General features: G+C 49.4%; 2 annotated features.

Moving 5' to 3' along the window:
• Positions 5,011-5,511: an enhancer, noted in NCBI's record as "H3K4me1 hESC enhancer chr2:237600176-237600676 (GRCh37/hg19 assembly coordinates)". NCBI's record gives its function as "activates a minimal SCP1, AML or CMV promoter by ChIP-STARR-seq in naive H9 embryonic stem cells {active_cell/tissue: H9 hESC(naive)}" and the evidence as "EXISTENCE:reporter gene assay evidence [ECO:0000049][PMID:30033119]".
• Positions 5,512-6,012: an enhancer, noted in NCBI's record as "H3K4me1 hESC enhancer chr2:237600677-237601177 (GRCh37/hg19 assembly coordinates)". NCBI's record gives its function as "activates a minimal SCP1, AML or CMV promoter by ChIP-STARR-seq in naive H9 embryonic stem cells {active_cell/tissue: H9 hESC(naive)}" and the evidence as "EXISTENCE:reporter gene assay evidence [ECO:0000049][PMID:30033119]".

Below are 19,614 nucleotides of genomic sequence, written 5' to 3' on the forward strand. Positions count from 1 at the left end.
TCCTGTCCCCTCATGACAGCCAGGTGACGTTTTGCAACAAAACCCATTATCTACCCCCACTCCCCAAAGCCCTCCAAAATATCAGCATTGCATTAAGAATAAAATCCCAACTCCTTGCTAAATCCTGTAACTTTGGGCCCCTGCCCCCTTATCTGAACATCCCACAGGCCCCTCTTCTCACTCTTTCTGTTTTGAACCTGCTGACTTTCTCTTTATTATTGACCACATCCAGCTGTTTCCTGCCCTGGGATCTGTGCTCACGAGACTGGTGGTCTGTCTGCCTCAGCTCTCCCTCCAATGAGCAGGAGCCCTCTTCTCCGCTTCATTCCTTAGTGGAGGCTGAGCAGTCCCTCCAGATGGGGCTTCCATGCCCCTGGGTTTTCCACCACTTGGCTCCCATCTTTTTTTCATAGCAGGTAGTGGGTTTGGTCACTGCCTCTCCAGTGAGCCTGGAGGGGCCACGAGGACAGGGCAGACCCCTCCTGCTCATAAGTGGACCCCAGCCTGCACAGAAACTGGCTCCCAGCAGAGCTGGTCGTGATCTGTTGATAAAGACACAGCACCCTCTGTCCCTGGAGGTGTGGCCAGGGCACATCTACCCCGCTTTGCCTCTGTCCTTCTCACCACAACACGCTTCTTATCACTGTGCCCCCAGAATGACAGGATAGTGGTGATTGGGAAGGGGCTGAAACACACCTGACTCGGTGGATGTAGCACTCCACTGTCACACCTCATCTGTGTATGTGTGTGTGTGTGTGTATGTGTGAGCATGTGTCCATGTGTGTGCATGTGTGTATCTGTGTGTGCATGTGAGGACAGCATTTTTGGCTCTTTAAGTTTGACCTGGAATGTCCACTTTTAAATAACTGATGGCAAAGCCAAGCTGCTTGCGAAAGCAGGACCCGGTCCCAAATGCCAGTGGGGATTAAGAGGAGGTGGGACTTGTGCATCCTGGGTGGACAGGAGTCCTGAGATGTGAGCCTGGGGCCTATCTGATGACCGTCCTGAGACCCCAGCCCCACAGCAGCCCCCAGCCCACCTGCCTTCCTCAGCCTGCATGGAAGCTCCTCCATTCCCTCCAGGCTTAAATGGGAAGCCATTTCCAGACAGGAAGTGGAGAAGGGGAAAGTCAGCCATCCCATCAGCCTTTTCTGGGTATGTGGGGCTTGTCAGTGCTTGGATGGGGTCCCAGGCGGCTGGGGCGTTCTCACCAGGAACTGGCAGTCACAGGGTGGCAGGCAGAGCTGGAAGTCAGGGCAGAGGGCGGGACAGTGCGGGGGCTGGGTCAGAGCCAGGGCAGGCCAGTGCGGTGCCAGCTCACTGCAGGCTCTGCCCAGAAGTGTGTGGCAAAGACAGATTTCAGGTGTGGGTGTCTGGGATGAAGGCAGAAAGCAGGGAGAACTCAGATGGAAGATTCTGGAATAGGATTCACAGAGTCAATGGTCTGGGGGTCTCAGTGTAACTGGTGACGATAGCAGGGAGGGGGCCTCCCTGGGGACGGGGGTGGGTACAGAGGAGACAGGCCACACCCTGCTGGGCAAGGATGGCTTCCTGTGGGTCACCAGGGAGGTTGCAGGAGAAAAAATTACAGAGCTTGCCCAGAATATGCCACCCTGTTTTTGGGGTTTTATGGTGGTAAAGCTAAGTCTGCAAATTGCACTTAGAATAAATGCAAACGTATCTGGTGGCATTTTGTTTCTCTCTCATTGCCAGTCTTCTGGAATCAGGGCTGTTGTGTGTTGATCTGGGACTCCCGGGCCCTGCCTCTGTCCCTGGCCTCGGCCTGCTGGCTTGTGTGGGACCTGAATTTCGGGAGCTGTGTGCTGCGTCCTCCCGCTTCCCTATCTGGCCTGTTCTGCAGGATGGGAGGGCCAGGGGCTGGGAGTGTGTCCCCTCCCACCCTCCCTTGGAGGCTGAGCTTGGTCCTTTCAGGAGCATCAGGGTAGAGCTCCACTGAGATGGAGCCACTGCTGACTCCTTTGGTGAAATGATCCATAAGCCCCTGACTTCTCTGTCCTGAGAATTTGATTTCTTACTTTTCCAGGCTCGTTTAAAAGGAGGCACGGTGGCAACTCAGCTTATTATGGAGACTCTTTACTGCAGCAAACACACTTGCTCTTTCTCTTCTAGTTTCCTCATCTGTAAAAACAATCACAATTGTCCCCGACACATCTCCACCGAGAGTTCCTGAATGCCGTGGGAATAGTGTGCTGTTAGGGGAATTATTCTGGTTTCCAGGGCGATGTGTGTGCTGGGAGGGCCCTGAAATGGTGGTTGGGGGTGGGGAGGGGTGGGAAGGATGTGGAGGAGGCACCCAATTTCTCAGGAGCTGGTGCTTCTCCCTGCCCTCCCTCCCATGGGAGGAAGCAGCCGAAACTTGATAAGGGTTGTATTGCTTTTACCAATAAAGGGTTTCTCCTGCCGCCGCAGGCGGGGTCTGTCGTGGCTCTGCAGACATCGCACACACTCCTTCTTCACTGGGCCCCGCAGGGACTCAGGAGACAGGGCAGTGGTGGACGCTGTGCCTGCAGAAAGGACCCTGTCCCTGCCCACGGAATTGCTGTGATGAGGATGCTCCGCTGGGGGACTCCTGGTCGTGAGTCCAGGATAAAAGAATGTCTTGTTCTCAAGTGGAGAGGGCCCCAGAACGGGGATTTGAGGTGGAGCATTTTGAATTGGCGTGAATCCAAATGATTGCATACTCCAAAATATGACCTGTGTTCTCCTGACAGAAATGCACACAGGGGAAATCAAGCAGCCCAGACGCTGCTGGGGGGCAAGCGCAACTGGCAAGAGGCGGTCCACTCAGGTCCCATGCCATGGTGCATTTCCATGAGCCGGGGAGTTATGGGATATTCTACCTGGGTAAAAGTATTCTTCACACTCAGAAAGCAATTGTGTAGCCCTTTAGAGCTCACTCGTGTCAGGTGCAATGCAACTAGCTATGTACCTGTCCACTCCTGTTGCCACTTGCAGATTCCCTGAGGGCAAGGACTGGGCCTCTCCTCCCTCCCTCCCTCCATCCCTCTCTCCCTCTTCTTCTTCTTCTTCTTTTTTTTTTAGACAAGACAAGGTGTTGCTCTTGCTCTGTTCTACAGGTTGGTGTGCAGTGGCACCATCATGGCTTACTGCAGCCTCAACCACCCAGGCTCAAGTGATCCTCTCTCCTCAGCCTCCTGAATAGCTGGGACCACAGGCAGGCACCACCATGCCAGGCTAATTTTTAAACTTTTTGTAGAGCCAGGGTCTTACTATGTTGCCCAAGCCGGTCTTGAACTCCTGGGCTCAATCAATCTTCCTGCTTTGACCTCCCAAAGCACTGAGATTGCAGAAGTGGCTTTCTTCTCTCCCTTCCTCCCTCCCTCCCTTCCTCTCCCCCTTCTCTTCCTTACTCCTTCTTTCAGATCCCCAAAATACAGTTGCTGGAATGTGTAAGTGTTTAAAATAGAAAATATATTTATCTTGCTGATTAAAGAGCAATACCCATTTATTGATAATAACTCGGAAATATAGAAAAGGGAAAAAGAGAAAATAATATATAATTCCGCCACCCAAAGGTGGCCACTGAATAGATGTTTGTTTTGACTTATTGAGGCATTCAAAGCATGTTGGTGCATGGTTTTTAGACTACTTTTACACCCATTGTTTAGTCACTTGAACTTTTATGTGTCATAATCTCTCCACATAAGCTTATTTTAATGGTTTGAATGTATCACAGGACGTGATGGATGAGGCTGTTTTTTACTCATATAAAAAACACTGAGAAAAACATCTTTGCAGGGATTTATTTAAATATCAGATTTGCTTGTCTTTTTGAAGACTTTCATGGATAAGGCAAATTATTTCCATTTGGAATTAAGAAGAAGGAGAATGGCATGGAACGTTTTTCATGGAAAGCAGCCATGTGCTGTGGCTGCTTTGGAATCCAGGCAGTGTGATTTGGGGCTGTGGCTCCCCCACCCGCATCTGCAGTTCACCGCTGCCTTTTGACCTTACCTTTCAGAAGGGCCACAGGCATATATCAGTATCTCAAATAAGAAGAGAGCTGGGGTGGTGCAGGCCTGGAAATGGTGTCCTGAACAGTTGGAGGAAAGGGAGATGGAGCAGAGAGGACGATCTGCACGGAGATGTAGCCACGACATAACCACAGAAGACACTTCATCTCCTCTACTGCGTCCTCAACCAGTGGGCTAGGTTTTTCTCTTGGCCCGGGCCTTCCTCCTGACTTCTCTGCTCTCATTGAAATGATTTAACATCCTACGTTCACTTTGAATTCATGGTCTCCATTCTGTAAAGGAAAAACAAAAACAAAACTGTCCACCTAAAAGTCACAACTCTAAATTGACCTTCACCTCCAGTCTCTTCCTGTCCCCTGCTGGCCCTGGCATGGCTGCCTCTGGGCTGGCTCTCCTCTCCTAGGTGGGGTGGAGGTTCTTGCTTGATGGTTCAGTTGTAGATGGTTTGTGCTCTTTGGTCCCGGCAGATGTCTCAGCTGAAGTTCTCCCCTAAGGCTGATTTTTTATGTCCTCAGGGGCTCCCTGTGGTGTGAGAGAGGTTTGCATCTAATCCTGGGAACCTGTGTATGGGAGGTTACATGGCAGAGGGAACCAAGCAGGCAGTGGAACTAAGGGTGTCAATCAGCTGACTTTTTTTTTTTTTTTTTTTTTTTTTTGAGAGGGAGTCTTTCTCTGTTGCCCAGGCTGGAGTGCAGTGGCGCAATCTCGGCTCATTGTGATCTCCACCTCTCGGGTTCAAACGATTCCCCTGCCTCAGCCTCTCGAGTAGCTGGGACTACAAGCGCCCGCCACCACGCCCGGCTAATTTTTTAAATTTTAGTAGAGAGGGGTTTCACCGTGTTGGCCAGGATGGTCTCGATCTCCTGACCTCATGACCCATCCGCCTCAGCCTCCCAAAGTGCTGAGACAGCTGACTTTTTAATAGGAAGACTACCCCAGACTATCTGGGTGGGCCTGATGTAATCCCCAGTGTTCTTATAATGGAACAGCGACCAAGGAGAGGCAGGTGAGAAGGTCTTGGCCACTGTAGCCGGCTTTGAAGATGGAGGAAGGCGCCACGGACCAGGGAACACAAGTGGCTTCTGGAAGCTGGACAAGGCAAAGAAATAGATTCTCCCCCAGAGCCTCCAGAGGGAACCAGCCCAGCCAGCACATTTGCTTTATCCCATTGAGGCCCATTCCAGGCTTCTGAACCCCAGAACCACCGGGTAATACATGAGCATTGTTTTAAGCCACTTTGTCTGAGGTCATTGTTGCAGGAGTGACAGGAAATGAATACAGTCTCCCTTATCTTTCTCCCCTGTGGCTCCTTGGCTGTGGGCACTGCCTCCCCTTGGCCATCTCCTGATCCTGCTCAGCTCCTGCCAGAGGGTTCACCCCCATGGGGCAGGCTGCTTGAAAGGCCCCCAGGGGGATCCATTTCTACCACAGATTCCACGTCTGGGCCCTGGGGTTCTGCACTTCTGACTCAACCCCAGAGCAGAACATGCCCCGACCTGTGTGTGGCCTCCTTCTCACTGCCACAGGCTCGTCATGTTTTCTCCCACCCGGGGCAAGCATGGGCCCTCGGGCCCTTGACCCTGGGATGCAGCTGTTTCGTGTCTACCACTGGAGAGCCTGAGCAGGTCCTGTCCTGGCTGTGGTGTCCTCCTGTGTACCAGGTCAGGCTCAGGGAGAGAATTTCAGAGATGGCTTTCAGCTGCAGACTGTTCCTAGAATGTATGACCTGTGCTGTAACAAGCAAAGCTGGTAAAAAAAAAAAAAAAAAAAAAGGAAGATGACCTGGTATAGTGGAGCTCTGGGTATCACTGGCAGCAAAATACCCTCAGTCTCTCAGAAATGGCACCAAATAAAGAGGAGGTGCTTGCCAGGGCCACAGTGAGGGCTTGCGGACAGCCTGGCCACACATTCACTTCCCAGAGGTGAGGCCAATTGGAATTTAGAAGATGCTTATGAAAGGGTTAATTATGCAGGGTTTTTTTTTTTTTAAACTAATATTGATGGAAGGCTGTTCCAACTGAACGTATATTAGGAAGATGATACCTAGATAAACACCAAGTCTGGCTGGGCTCAGTGGCTCACGCCTGTAATCCCGGCACTTTGGGAGGCCGAGGCGGGCGGATCACTTGAGGTCAGGAGTTGGAGACCAGCCTGGCCAACATAGTGAAACCCCGTCTCTACTAAAAAAAATTACAAAGAATTAGCTGGGCGAGGTGGCAGGTGCCTGTAATTCCAGCTACTCAGGAGACTGAGGCAGGAGAGTTGCTTGAACCTGGGAGGCTGAGGTTGCAGTGAGCCAAGATCGTGCCGTTGCACTTTAGCCTGGGCAACAAAGCAAGACTCCATTAAAAAAAAAAAAAAAAGACAAAGCCTAAAGCCATGAACTTACAAGTGCTAGGCTGGGACACTGCAGTCGGGCCGATGGTCAACATGAGCCTCAGGCCCTTGTCTGTGACATTTCTGCTGTATTTCATGTCACTAGGCCAGGGCAGCCCAACGCATCCATGTCCGTGGTGAACTTGCAACTGATATTGGCCCCATCATGCCTGTGCATGGTACACCGTCTCCCCAGATCCTGCCACTCACTTTCCCTGGGACCCTGTGTCCTGGGCTCCTCAGGGAAGTCACCTGCATCTCCCCTGTGCATCCTGTCCTTAGAGAGAAGGACGGCAGAGCTGTGTGGGCGAGGGAGCCCTGACTTTCTGGAAAGTGAAGTTTGCACACACCTCAGGCCTGCCCCTCATGTGTAAATATTATAGTCTAACTCTTAGGGAATTATTTGTTTGTCTTTTATAGTTCACGTTTTAAGGGAGTGTTCTGCCTCCTTTATTGGCTGTATGGCTGGAAACAACAGACCTTACATTTTCCTTGAAATTTTGAATCCACTCATCTGTAAATGGTTATAAGATCTACCTACAGGATGCGGGGAATCTCAATTCTACATTTTTAGCTTTAGATTGCATAAAATAAACTTGCGGATTTCAGTTAACCACACTGCATGTTTGCCTCATTGACATTGCTTTCTCCAGCGTCTCTCAGAAGAAAAGGGGTTTCAGGGCTGAAGCGTTGCCCAATGGGACTCAATTAGCAGGGGAAAGCCTTGTCAGTTTTGAAGGGCGGTGGGTGTTGGGGAATGCCTTGCGTCTACAGTCTGCATTCCACCTGGGCAGAGGGAGATTTACAGGACCTGTCAGTCATGACAGTGATTGGAAAGGAGGAATGCTTTCTCTTATCTTGGATTTGAGCTGAGACACAGGAATCCCACCACCCTGACTGCATTCATGGAAAAGAGGTACAGCTCCTGCCCTCCTGGTCTCTGTCCCCTCCCACTGCCCAGGCATCCCACCCACTCTGTGGATTCCTTTGTGCATTTAGAGTCCTGAAATCCCATCGGGAAGAGACCTCAACAAAGAGTCCCATAGCCTCTGTTTACAGCAGAGGAAAGTGTGGCCCGGGAAGGAAAGGTGACCAGCAGGCAGGACACCCTCACTGAGTCAGCTTCTCATCTGCGACATATCACTTTCTTATATCCTGTGGGATTCTTTGCATTTTATAGACAAGCAAACAAAAAGTCAGGGAGTTGGAGCTGCCTGCCCAAAGTTGAAGGGTAGCTAGCTACTTGTAGGCCCCTCAAATTCATTCATTCATTCATCACACCGTCACTGAGCTCCTGCTTGGGGGCAGTTGGCATGGAGAACAAAGAAGCCTGGAAATCCGTTCTTGAGGAGACAGACAGACGACAGCTCTCCTTGTCTGCAGCCCTCAGTGTGGAGGTTTTCTGGAGTCATGACCCACGTCTGCTTGTTCTCTCTTCCTCGACAGTCTCCCCTGTGGGGAATGGTTATCCTCTCTGATGAGTCAGCTCTCAGCGCAAGACAGAATGACCTCCAAGCCCCCATCTCCCTGTATAGGTATAGCTGCTGTGCAGAGCTCCTTGGCTGCCCAGTAGGGAGTTCCTGCCTAGGATGTGGAAACAGAATGTGTTAGCTTCCCTTCAGATGCGGGGGCACCTGGCCCGGTGCTGAGCATTCAGCAGGCTCCCCTCCCATAACTGTCCCTGGCTTTACTAAGGACAAAGCTGCCACCAACTCACCTGCCTCACTCACCTGGGTCAGGAGCCGCCCTCTGTCTCCCTCATTCCCTGAAGTTAATCTCATTGATTCCAGTTCATAAATGTCCCCAGCCCCTGAAGTGTGTGGTCTCCACACCTAAGGCCACTGCCCAGCCCTTTCCCAGGGGCTACTGCAGCTTCCTGGGTGGGGGCTGGGCCCCTCAGCCCTCTGTGGGGACATTGACCCAGCCGATCTCCACTATGAGGAGCCTGCCAGGCCAAAGGGGATCTTCCTCCCTTTTCTCATCCTGACTTTGTAGAAAAGAGAGCTTTACTCTGAGATTTGCTCCTAGGTCAAGGTCAATGGACTTGGCTTCTGAGATGGCTGCAGCAGCCTTGCCTGAATCAGCCGTGGGCCAACATGACCTACTCTGGCCGGTGGCACAAGAGAGTTTTGACTGGAGTGACCGGTGTGACTCGGACGTTGCAGGAGGGGCCTCTGTCCCTCACACACAGGGATGTCCCCTCTGGGTGCCTGCAATTCCACCATTGGGATGCTTCTAGCTGGGGAGGGGATCTGCAGCACTGCAGACATTGGATAAAAATCTCCAGAAGGTTGCAAAATGGCAGGCGGGAAAGAGGTCAGAAGAGGGAACAGAGCTGGCAGGAAGGCAGGGCTGAGGGAAGAGGTGGATGCAGCCCCCTCACATGGACCAACCCATCAGTAGGGGCTCCGAGGGTGGCAGTGGCATTGGGTGGGCCTGTGACACAAGAAGTGCTGACTTGGGTGGTGTTCAGTGCCCTTGTGTCTGCCTGCAGGCTGGTGGCTCCCCTCCCCATATTTGCCCTGGATGCTTGATGTCCCCGAAGTCTGAGGACATCGTCATCTGAGCCAGTGGCTCAGGCTCCCCCAGGGATTAGCCCAGCATGGATGTTCCTGGCTAATAGTGCCTTACCTCTGAGCCATCCACAGGGGTCTTTTCTGGCGAGATTCTTAGGAGTTGAAAAACGGCAGATTTCTAAAAGGGCAAAGGAATGTAGGCTTTGGTAATCCTAACATGAGATTCTCAATTGAGGCAAGGAAAGAGGAAAGGGGAGTTCCTAAAAATGAAAATAGTCCCAAAGGAGAAGTGCTGATGGAAGGGACTCAAGAAATCCAGTTCCACTGCCCAGGGGTCCTGCAAGTGCCCAGGTTGCAGATGATCCAGAACTGCAGAGGTCCATGGAAAGACCTGGGGAGGTGGGATTAGGTGGAAGGAGAAAACTTGTTTTGTTCTGTCTCCTCCAATGAGAAGAATCTCATCCTCCTGCTCCTCTCTGCTCTTCTGCAGCACTCGATGTAAGCTTTCCTTTTTAAGTCTCTCTCCACCCTGACTTCTGTGCACTGTCCTATTGTCCCTTAGGCAGAAGACACAGCCAGACTTGAACCTGGACCCCACGTACCTTTGTAGTTGGATAATTCTCTGTTATCGCTCATCTATATAAATGGCACAGCCAATGAGAAACATATGAGATGAAGATGCAAAAACATCTCACAGGGCCCTGGCCTGAAGAGGTGCTCAGTGCACAGTGGTCCTGTCTTCTTCTCATTCCCCTCCCCTGTGGCTCCTTTGTTCCTCTTCAGATGGCCTTGATGTCTTTTCCCATCCTCTAAATGAGGGCTCCTCAAACTATGGCCCTTGGCCCAAATCTAGCCACAACTTGTTTTTATAAATAAAGTTTTAGTGGAACACAGCTACACCCATTCATGTACATATTGTTGATGGCTGCTTTCCTGCTCCAAAGACAGAGTTGATTTGTGGCAACAAAGACTGTGTGATCCTCAAAGCCTAAAATATTTACTAGATGACCCCTGATAGAAAAAGTTTCCTGGCTCCTGGTCTTAACCCATAAAATTTAGGTACTCCCAAAGTTGCCTTCTTATCTTTTATGCCTTTTTTTCCATACCCTCTCTCGGTAGTCTCATTGATATTGTGACATCAACTTCTTTTTACCATGTCAGTTGCTCCCATATCTAAACTCCAGCCTTTCCCCAAAGTCTAGGCATACCTTTACAAGGCCTTATTGACTAAGTTCAACAAGCCTCCACTCAAACCCATTACCATTTTTCCCAAATCTGCATCTCTTCTGGATTATCCTAATTTGGTTAACGGCAGCTCTAGTTCCCCAGACTCAAACCCTTTGCTGAATCACTTGTGCTTTCTGGGTTTTATTTCTCCAATTTCCTTGATAAAGTATTTATCACTGTCCCTTTCTTCAAGAGGGGAGAATTGTCCTCACAGGGTTGGGAAGTGGTGATATAATGAGTTAATGTGTATTAATCATTTGGCACTGGGCAGGCACCGATAAAGGGCTCCATAATGCTTCTGCATGGCCAGATGGGTGGATATACTGATGGGTGAGAGGATGGATGTGCGGGTGGGGGACTGGATGGATGATGGATAGTTGAATGGGTGGATGGGTGGATGAGTGTGTGTGTGGGTGGGTGGACGAATAATGAATGGGTAAATGGGTGGAGGGGTGGATGAGTGTGTGGGTGGATGGGTGGGTGGGTAAGTGGATGGATGAATGAATCAATGAATGGGACATGCACCAACTGCCACACAAGGTTTGAAAAGTGTGATGTGATGAGGACTCTGCCTTTGGAAGCTAATTATGGCACACACTAATTCTAAGTATATAAAATGGTTGAGAGAGAGCAAACTGAAGAGGAGAGGACCAATGGGAAGAGTATTTCCATATCCCAGGTTAGTAACATCCTGTGTACCACCCAGGATGACAGTAGTGGGAATGGAAGTGAGAGAATGAGCCAGGAAGATGCTGCCAGAGGAATGGACAGTGACCAGTACTTTATCAGGCAGGGTAGGGAGACAAGTCTTGGAAGGTATGAGGGACTTAGCAAAGAAGACAACAGTGTTTGAGCTCTGGGGACCAAAATAGCCTACTCCAGAAAGGCGGCAGGTTTAGGGGAAATGGTAAATAGTTTAAGTTCAGACACATTAAGTTTAGTAAACAAGTTCTTATAAGGTTATCATATGTTCCAAAGTGGTTTAAGTTACCTTACAAAAAATATGCTATGAAAATAAAGGAAGTTAGGGAACTGGGGCTATTGAGAAGCAAGTTGAAGCTTGTAAAGTTGCTAGAAGTGGGCCTTGGACTCTCTCATAGCTTCTCAATAGCAGACAGATCCTGGAGGAGAATCTCCCACCTCCCGGGGTTTGTGGGGAGGGGTTAGCAGGGACTAACGCTTGCAAAGCACTCCACCCTGGGCAGGCACAGAGAATGGGCTCCATTTTTAAGTGCTCGCTATTCTTTATTATTATCTTGACTTTCTTATTTCTACTTTTTAAATTTTATATATGCATTATTTGCTTGATAGTGCGTTAAGATCCCAAGGGGGCTGTGTCTCATTGCCCTACCACACTCATTGAATGGCATAGTTTATGCTGGTGGATGAATGAATCCGTGGCTCAGACCCCCTTAGGTTGGCTCCTTTCTGCAAATCGGATTCTCCTGGCATGTAAGTGACGTTCCTGCCATGAGGAGAGCCCAGCAACAGCTCGGCTCCAAGCAGACCCCAGCCCATCCATCTTCCCACCCGCAGCATGTATTACGCAAGGCTTGGCATGTTCTGCCATCAGGAATGGGTTGCTGGGAGCATGAATGGAGGTTCTGGGGCAGGAGAAAGATTTACAAAGTATGCCGAAGGTTTTATTTAGTATGAAATAATTTCTCACTTTATTGCCTGGTGTTTTTTCCTTAGTGTAAGCACCCAAAGCCATGCTTAATTTAATAATGTATTTGCTTATTAATGTACTGTGTTTCCCAGTCATAAAATCTCCTAGAAGGATACTGAAAATTGGCAGATGTAAACACGCCATATGCTTTCTCTTCAAATCTGGCCATTTTGAATGTCAAAATATTTATTGTTTTATGTGCTTTATTATTATAACTTTTGTATTTCCACTGGAGTATTTTATTATTAAAAATGAGCATAATTTTCTATTTAAAAGATTTTCCAAATCCTCAGAAATACACCTAATTCTATTTTTAGATCATTTAAAGATTTGAGTTTTGAATGGTCAGTATCTGCAATACTTTTATTCTTGTCCAAAATTTTGGGGGGCAGCTTGTGCCTCCTGCCAGGGAGTTGGGGGAGAGATATCCAACCAGCTCTTCATTGCTGTGTGCAGTTTGAGGAATTCCTTTACCATGCCCAAAATGAGGCCTGTGTACTATTACTTGCTTACTTGCTTTGCAACGTCTAATTTAGCCTCTGATCTTTGGGGCTGTTGTTAACTTTATGGTTTACACAATTCAAAGTGTCAGGCAACTGTGAAGTGCTTGCTCAGGAAAGAAACCCAGAGCGAGACCACCTCAGCTGCTGAGCTGGCCTCTCTAATGAGCATCCTTAGGGATGCTTCTCTAAGCACGGAGAGCCCGAGCAAATATTTGCACAGTTGAATTACATTTTCTAAGGCTACATATGCAGGTAAAATTCTCTTTCCAAGTGCCTGAGAGACTTATGGGTTCCAGCTACCTGCCTGGGAAGGTAGAAGTGGCCAATCAATTCCCTTCAACTGGCTTTGAGTTGCTCTGTATACACCCAACTAAACACATGGAAAGCATGTAACAGGTGGATCTGGGTTCTGCATGGCATGATTTGAAGAAAATCTCCAGGGATATCTGTTGCAAACATATTCTTTGTGTTGTGGTGTGGTGTGTGTGTATGGGGGGTGGGGGAATATTTAATGGGCTGCTTCTGCTCTGGCCCAAGTTTAGTGTGTGTGAAATCTCAAGAAGGGAGAAATGGGTGGGTCACTGCAGTTTCAAGGTCTAGGAGGGTACTCACGTCTCCATCCTCAGTCCTCTAAGCCTTGTTATTATTAATACTATTGTTGTTGTTATTGCTATTATTTTAATTTTATTTATAAAACGAGGAAGAGAGCTTTGAGTGGCAGAGGCTGTTAGGAGCAGGTCAGGGCAGAAAGACCTAGGACAAGTGTCATGGGGAACAGAGAGGAAAGGAACAGGTACCAGCCCGAGGGATGGCTTCATCCTCCCGCTGCCGTGTCTCCTTCTGGAGAGATGGTGAGAAGATGGAAGGATGTAAATAGAGCGTTGGAAGTGACCTTGGGGGACTCTGTTAACCTCTTCAACTTGGAGTGGAGAGAAGCAGGTTCCCACACAGCCCCTGGTTAAGGGCAGAGCAGGGCCCTGCCCTTAACCAAGGGCTCTGGCATCTCCTTCTGCAGACCTTGGGCATGTCACAGAGGGCAGGGCAAAAGCAATTGTGAAGCTCATCCCCTCCCGAGTCTTGCTGCCACAAGAGAAGGCAAGGAAGGCATGAGCTGGGGCTGGCATTTGCCGGGTATTGTCATGAGTGCTTTCCCAATAGAAGCTTGTTTATTTCTCAAAGTAATCATCTGTGGTAAGTGTGACTTGTCCTGTTTTCATTTTATGATTGAGGGGACAGGCAGGGAGATGAATCAATTTGACCAAGGCTAGACAGTTTGCAAGTAATAAAGCCACAGTTTTTGTTTTGTTTTATTTTGTTTTGTTTTGTTTTTGAGACAGAGTCTCACTTTGTTGCCTGGCTAGAGTGCAGTGGCATGATCTCAGCTCTCTGAAACCTCCACCTCCCAGGTTCAAGCAATTCTCCTGCCTTAGCTTACCAAATAGCTGGGATTACAGGCGTGTGTCACCACACCTGGCTAATTTTTTTGTATTTTTAGTAGAGACAAGGTTTTGCCATGTTGGCCAGGCTGGTTTTGAGCTCCTGGCCCCAAATGATCCACCCGCCTTGGCCTCCCAAAGTGCTGGGCTTACAGGTGTGAGCCACTGTGCCTGGCCTAACACCACAATGTAAACCCAGGCTGAATCCAAAGCCAGCAGCTTGCAAGACCTCCTATAACAGACATGCCCTTCTAGACGAATATGCAGCCTCGTGTAGGACTGGAGTGGAAGTTGTGTCTGGGCAGGTCAGGGAGAGATGGTTGAGGACTGGGTTTTGGAATGGGGATTAAAGGCAAGTAGAGTAACATTTGGTGAGCACCTACTGTGAACATAAATGGGTTTGACATCTCCTTTAATTTCCACAACAGTCCTTCAAGGGCTAGAATTTTCCCATTTTGCAGATGAGGAAACTGAGGCATTGAGATAGACATCTTGCCTAAGGTCACATGACTGATAAATGATAGAGCCAAGAGTTATATTTAGGAGTGTCTTATTCTAAAGTCCCTGGGTTTTGCACAGTACTGCAATATGGCTGTGGCTTTCCCCAGTCATCGAGCAATGAGGCCTCCTGCCACTCCTTTCAGTTTCAGGGTGGTTCATGCACAGAGGTTGACTTTTTGGATGGACTGTGCCACTCCTCATCTGTCTGGTAATGGCGGTTCCCGTCAGCTCAGGACCTCAACAGTTACTCTTCACAGGAGAACAGAACCCAGGGGTCATGATGGCAAACTGGCTACTCGGGGATGGCCCAGTGCTGGGCTTGGGAACACTACAGGAGTGTCAAAGACAAGGTGAGGGGAGCCATTGATCTAGGGTGAACTTGAGTATCAGTCCTTGGGGTAACTCATGGAGGGAGGGCAGTGTGTGATTTGGTCAGGGGTAGTAGAAGAAGATGTGGCTGTGAGAGTCAAATCAGGATTTTGTGCCTGTGATGGGACTGTCAGTTGTTTTGTCATGGCGTCTCGTGGCCTATTACAAGGCAGGCACTGCCCAGCAAGGAGGCCAGGCGCATAGAATTTACACAGCAGTCCTGAGAGAAGGACTTCTGCTCAAGCAGCAGGGCTGGGGCCAGATGTACTTTTCAGGCCAGCAGGTGCTCTGGTTACTGGAACGTAACTCATGGGGACTTGGGGTTTGAGTGGGAGTCACAGAGGAGGCTGGAAAGCTGTGGTGACTTGGTTGTACTGCAGTGAGGGGCACGCCTCAGAGCCAGGAGTGAGTACAGGAGAGGCAGCAGCATGCAAGGACAGAGTGGGTGTGCAGGCAACAGGACCCCAGACATCCCATCCTTGGGGTTCTCAGAGCCCTGGGCTGATGCCGTAAGGCCTTCGAGTGGTCCGTGGTAGAGTATTAAGATGATGCTTCAAGCCCAGGGTACATTCAGGCAGAGACTCTCGTGCCAGGAAGACACAATCACCTGGATAAGTGTGTCTGTGGCCCAGGCTCATGAACTCAGATGACAAGGGTGAGTTGTCTGTTCCTTTGCTTAATAACAAGGGATTTGGTTGTCTTTGGGTCTGTTTCAGTATTCCAGTAACAAAACAGCTTTATTTAGGACTCCATGAATCAGCCAAATTTTTCCGTGGTGTTTCTGTTAGGATATCTGTCTGTAGACGATGGACAATGGAATATGATTTGAGTTATCTGTTTTTTCCCATCACTTATTGGCCTTTTGGCTAATACCAAACGTGTATCTTGGCGACTAGAAGCAGAAAGGAGCGTGGTTTTATATGGACATTTTTAGCTGACATTTCACTGGATACCTTCGGGTGTCAAAATGAAACAGAATTAACCTCCCTGCCCTGTTCACACATTATAATCACTACCATATTCCCATATTTATGTACACTGCTGGGTTACCATCCCTAGAAGGTCTTAATCAAATGGTTGAAAAAATACATTCTGCTTTAGGTCTGTCAACTGGCCAGTATTTTCCTATCACGCATAGTAATGACGTGAGCCATTGTTAAAGCAAACCTGACCTTTTTAAAGGAGGGCCCAATCAAGTGTCATACCCAGTGTTCAGAAATGACCTTGTAAAAGGCCTTCTCACAGTGAAAGCAATCTTGGAAGAAACCATTTCCCGAGAAAAGCCAATTTGGTATCCCGTAAAATCTGTTCGAGTTTCTTCTATCGGATTCTGTCCTGGGCTTCCAAGGGGATTACAGATTACAAACCTGAAGGAAAGCCTTTTCTTAGTTGGAAGAAAAACAAATGAAATATGCAAGATGTTTGTATTTCTAACAGCTAAAATATGTTTACACACACACAAACATACACATACACCCCACTAAGGATATAAACTTTCTAATGAGTGCCTGCAGTCCTGTCTCTTTTCTGTGCTGAGACTTCAGCATAAAAATCAGATTGCATCTGTCACCATTCAGCAGTATGCGCAATGAAAGCTCTGGAAATCTCTGCTTCCTTGGAGCCTGCACCAGCTCCTCGAAAGTGACTGTGACCTCTCCCGTGTTCCCCGCCCTCCCTACACTCGGGTCCTCTCCTGGCTCTCCCTCCCTTACCTGTCCAAGGAAGTGGCATGTGTTTACCACCTGGTGGTTACAGGAGACCCATGCAGGTGTGTCTGTTGGAAAGTGTAGCGAGTGGACTCTTTCCAAAGGGGTGACCTCATCAGTCCTGAAAAACAACTGCCCAAATGGACATTTGTGTAGCGCACTTCACTTTGCATAATGACCTCAGGTGCTCTCGGTCTTTTTCAGTCCTCAATGAACGCTGAGGTCTTGAGAACACTTGAGACTGGTTGTCCATTGAGTGGGATATTAAAGAAAATGCAATCTCCATCTGTAGACCCGGGGGATGGAGAGCAGAGATGTCCTTGTGTGGTATAACACAGTTCCTTCCCCGTGCTCTTGACAGCTGCCTCCTGTCTTCTCCTGCCTGCCGTCTTCCTCTAGGATTCTGTCCACGTGGCACAGCTAGGGGCTGGTTATTTTGTTCTCTGGTGCCCTTGCTAATGCGGGCCCCAGTCAGGACATTTTCTAAGGTCCAAGTCTTCAAAACAGCATCTCCTGGTCAGAACAGGTCTCACCCAGATGGAGAAAGGAATCCTCCACTCACCCTCCCTCCCTGCCCTAACCACCCGCTCCTGGCAGAATTCACCACTCACCCAGTGCCCTCTCTATTTTGAGTCAGGAGAACATCGATAACTTGGATGCACTTACCTGTGGTGTGTCCATCTTCCCACACTAGACTGACCTTTTTGAGGGCACTTCCTTCTCTAATATTTGCCATTCTGCTGAGCACATGGTACACTGTTTGCTTGGTCTTTATTTGTGGAATAAATTAAGGAATGCATTGTGTGTGGATGTCTGTGTGACTCCTGTTCCCAACTCTTACAAACTTGGGGCAATTTCAGTTTCATCAGTTGTAGATAGAAGTACAATCATATTGCAGGGCTCTTGAAATAGCACAGAAAAGGCCTCACATATGAGGTTGTCAAAAAATCCACTCCCTTTCCCGGCTGTCTTCAGCCTCTTGATGTCTTCATGTACAGGCTTTTATTACTAGCCATGGTGAGGCTCCATCTTATCTAGGACCAGCAATATGTCTCATAGGTTTTGGCATTTCCTTCCTCCCTTGCAAAGGCTTCAACCATCATTTCAGGTGCACGGTGAAGCAGTTGGTTCTTCTGAGCCAGCTCCAGGTATTTCCTCAGGGACAGTGAGGCAGGGGAGGGGTGGGGCGAAGGGTCCTCCCCTTGTCCCCATGAACCTCGCCCAGGGCCTGGGCCACCGCAGGCCTGTGTCCAGTCTGCTTGGGAACTGTGAGCTTTGCCTATAGGTCTGGCCCTCCCACGCCATGACTGTGGTGAGGCCTGGTAGGTCATTGTCATCCCCGGAAGCTGGCTGCTGAGGGCACGAGCCCCCACAAAGGAAGAAAGCGCCCATAAAACCCTGTACACAGACCTGCCCGAGGCAGTGTCTGCCCTTGGGAATGACAGCCATCTGTGTGCTTGGACGCAAGTTGGGGTGATCAGGGACAGGGCAGGTAGAGACCAACAGGTGGGGAGGAGCAGGTGTATCCTCAGCCTGGATATGCGCTCAGGTCAGGAATACAGTTTACATTACAGCACAGTGTGTGTGCAGGGACACACACACACACATGCACTGTACACACACACACAGAATGGAAACAAACATCTTATCAAAATCACACAAGATACATTCTGATCTCTTCTTTGATTTTTTTTATTCCACTCCAGGCTGGCCTAGTCTATTTCAATTTTTAAATGTTGGTCATGGCCATCTACATTGAATTGACATCCATTTACATTCATAGTTGGAGACCCTCCATTTGCAAAGTGGTGCCTTAAGCAATTACCCCCAACACCAGTGGGGACTTTTGAGCCCAGGTTTCTGGGCACGAAGGTGAAAGTAGGCAGGTGGTTGGGTTTCAGGAACCAGTGAGGACACAGGAAGAGTCAGGACTAGGGTGAGGCAAGAAAGGTGCCTAATTTAGAGGCATACAATTTGAAGAGGTGCTTACTCTCTGCCCTCACAGAATGTGAGAGCAGCTTTCAGTTTTGTGCCCAAGGCACCTCTCTCCCCTCACCCAGCCCCAGCCCTGGCTTCTAGATGTGATCATCCCATTTTACAGATGATAACTCTGTCATGGAGGTAACAAAGACTGCGACTGAGGTCCTGGGGCTGAGGCAGGATTCCAGCCTGGGTCTGGCTAACATGAGCCCAAGCTGCTTCCCAGGCATTCTGCATTCTCTGCCCAGCCCTGTGGGAGGTCCCTGAGGCAGGACGCAGCCACATGAACCCCAACTGAACAGTCAGCCCAGGGGAACACTTAACTTACACAAAGCAAAAAGAAACGGCTTTCAAACATCACTGTGGTACAAAATTAGGACCCCCGACGGATAGAGTGAGTTTCTGAAGACAGACCGGGGTGTGTTGGCTGGGTGGTTTCTTAGAGCACACATCCTATTCCACAGTCTTCGGGCTAGACTGGCTCAGCCCCTTGTGCTTATTAATGGATCCTTTCCCACCTGGCAGGACCTGCAGCATGGTTTGCAGTGGGGAGAATCTGCAGGCCGGCTGGAGCTACTGTCAGTGGAGGAAGCTTCCAGATGCAATAGGGCCCACGTCCAGGCTCAGCTCACCCCACTGTCGCTGTTTCACAACTTAGCACCTCCCAGAATAGAGGTCTAAGTGAGTGAGTGTCTGGGACAGGCTCTTTCTGGAGCCCTGGGACTTGCTCATTTCCTTCCCCTCCATGTGCTCCGCTGGGGTCCCTCTTGCTCTTGTTCCACACCCTCCTCCTGCACTGGCTCCTTCCGTACTGCTGCTGACATGCGGGACTGTCCCACTCTCAGTGAAGCCTCCCTTCTGCACAAGCCTCCCCGTCCCCACCAGCTGGGATGCTGTGGATCCTCTGGAGTCAAGCTGTCTGCCTGGGACAGAGCATGGCCAGCGTGGTTAAAAGAGCCTGAACCTGCCTCTGACCCATGGGCTGCCAGGCTCAGATGAGTTCACATAGGAATCACAGCTTAGCCATTACCTAGTCATCCTTCATTCCATCACCCGCTGCTCAAGGACTGGGGCGCTGTCACACGTGCATACCGCACAGCTTCTCAAAGGCCAACCTATCACAGTGTCATACAGAAAGCAGGCTTGCAACACATAAGTGTTGAATTAATAAAGGTCCCATGAGGAGAAAGTGGAGCCCACAGGATAGCAAGTCCAATTAAGAAAATCCAGGGGGCACTGGACTTGGAAGTGCAGAGGGGCCCAGCAGAGAAGCTTATGAATCAGGTCGAGAAGAGAGGGCTGTTGTCCCCTGCTT

The sequence above is a fragment of the Homo sapiens genome, chromosome 2, assembly GCF_000001405.40.
Source record: "Homo sapiens chromosome 2, GRCh38.p14 Primary Assembly".
Classification (NCBI taxonomy): Eukaryota; Metazoa; Chordata; class Mammalia; order Primates; family Hominidae; genus Homo; species Homo sapiens.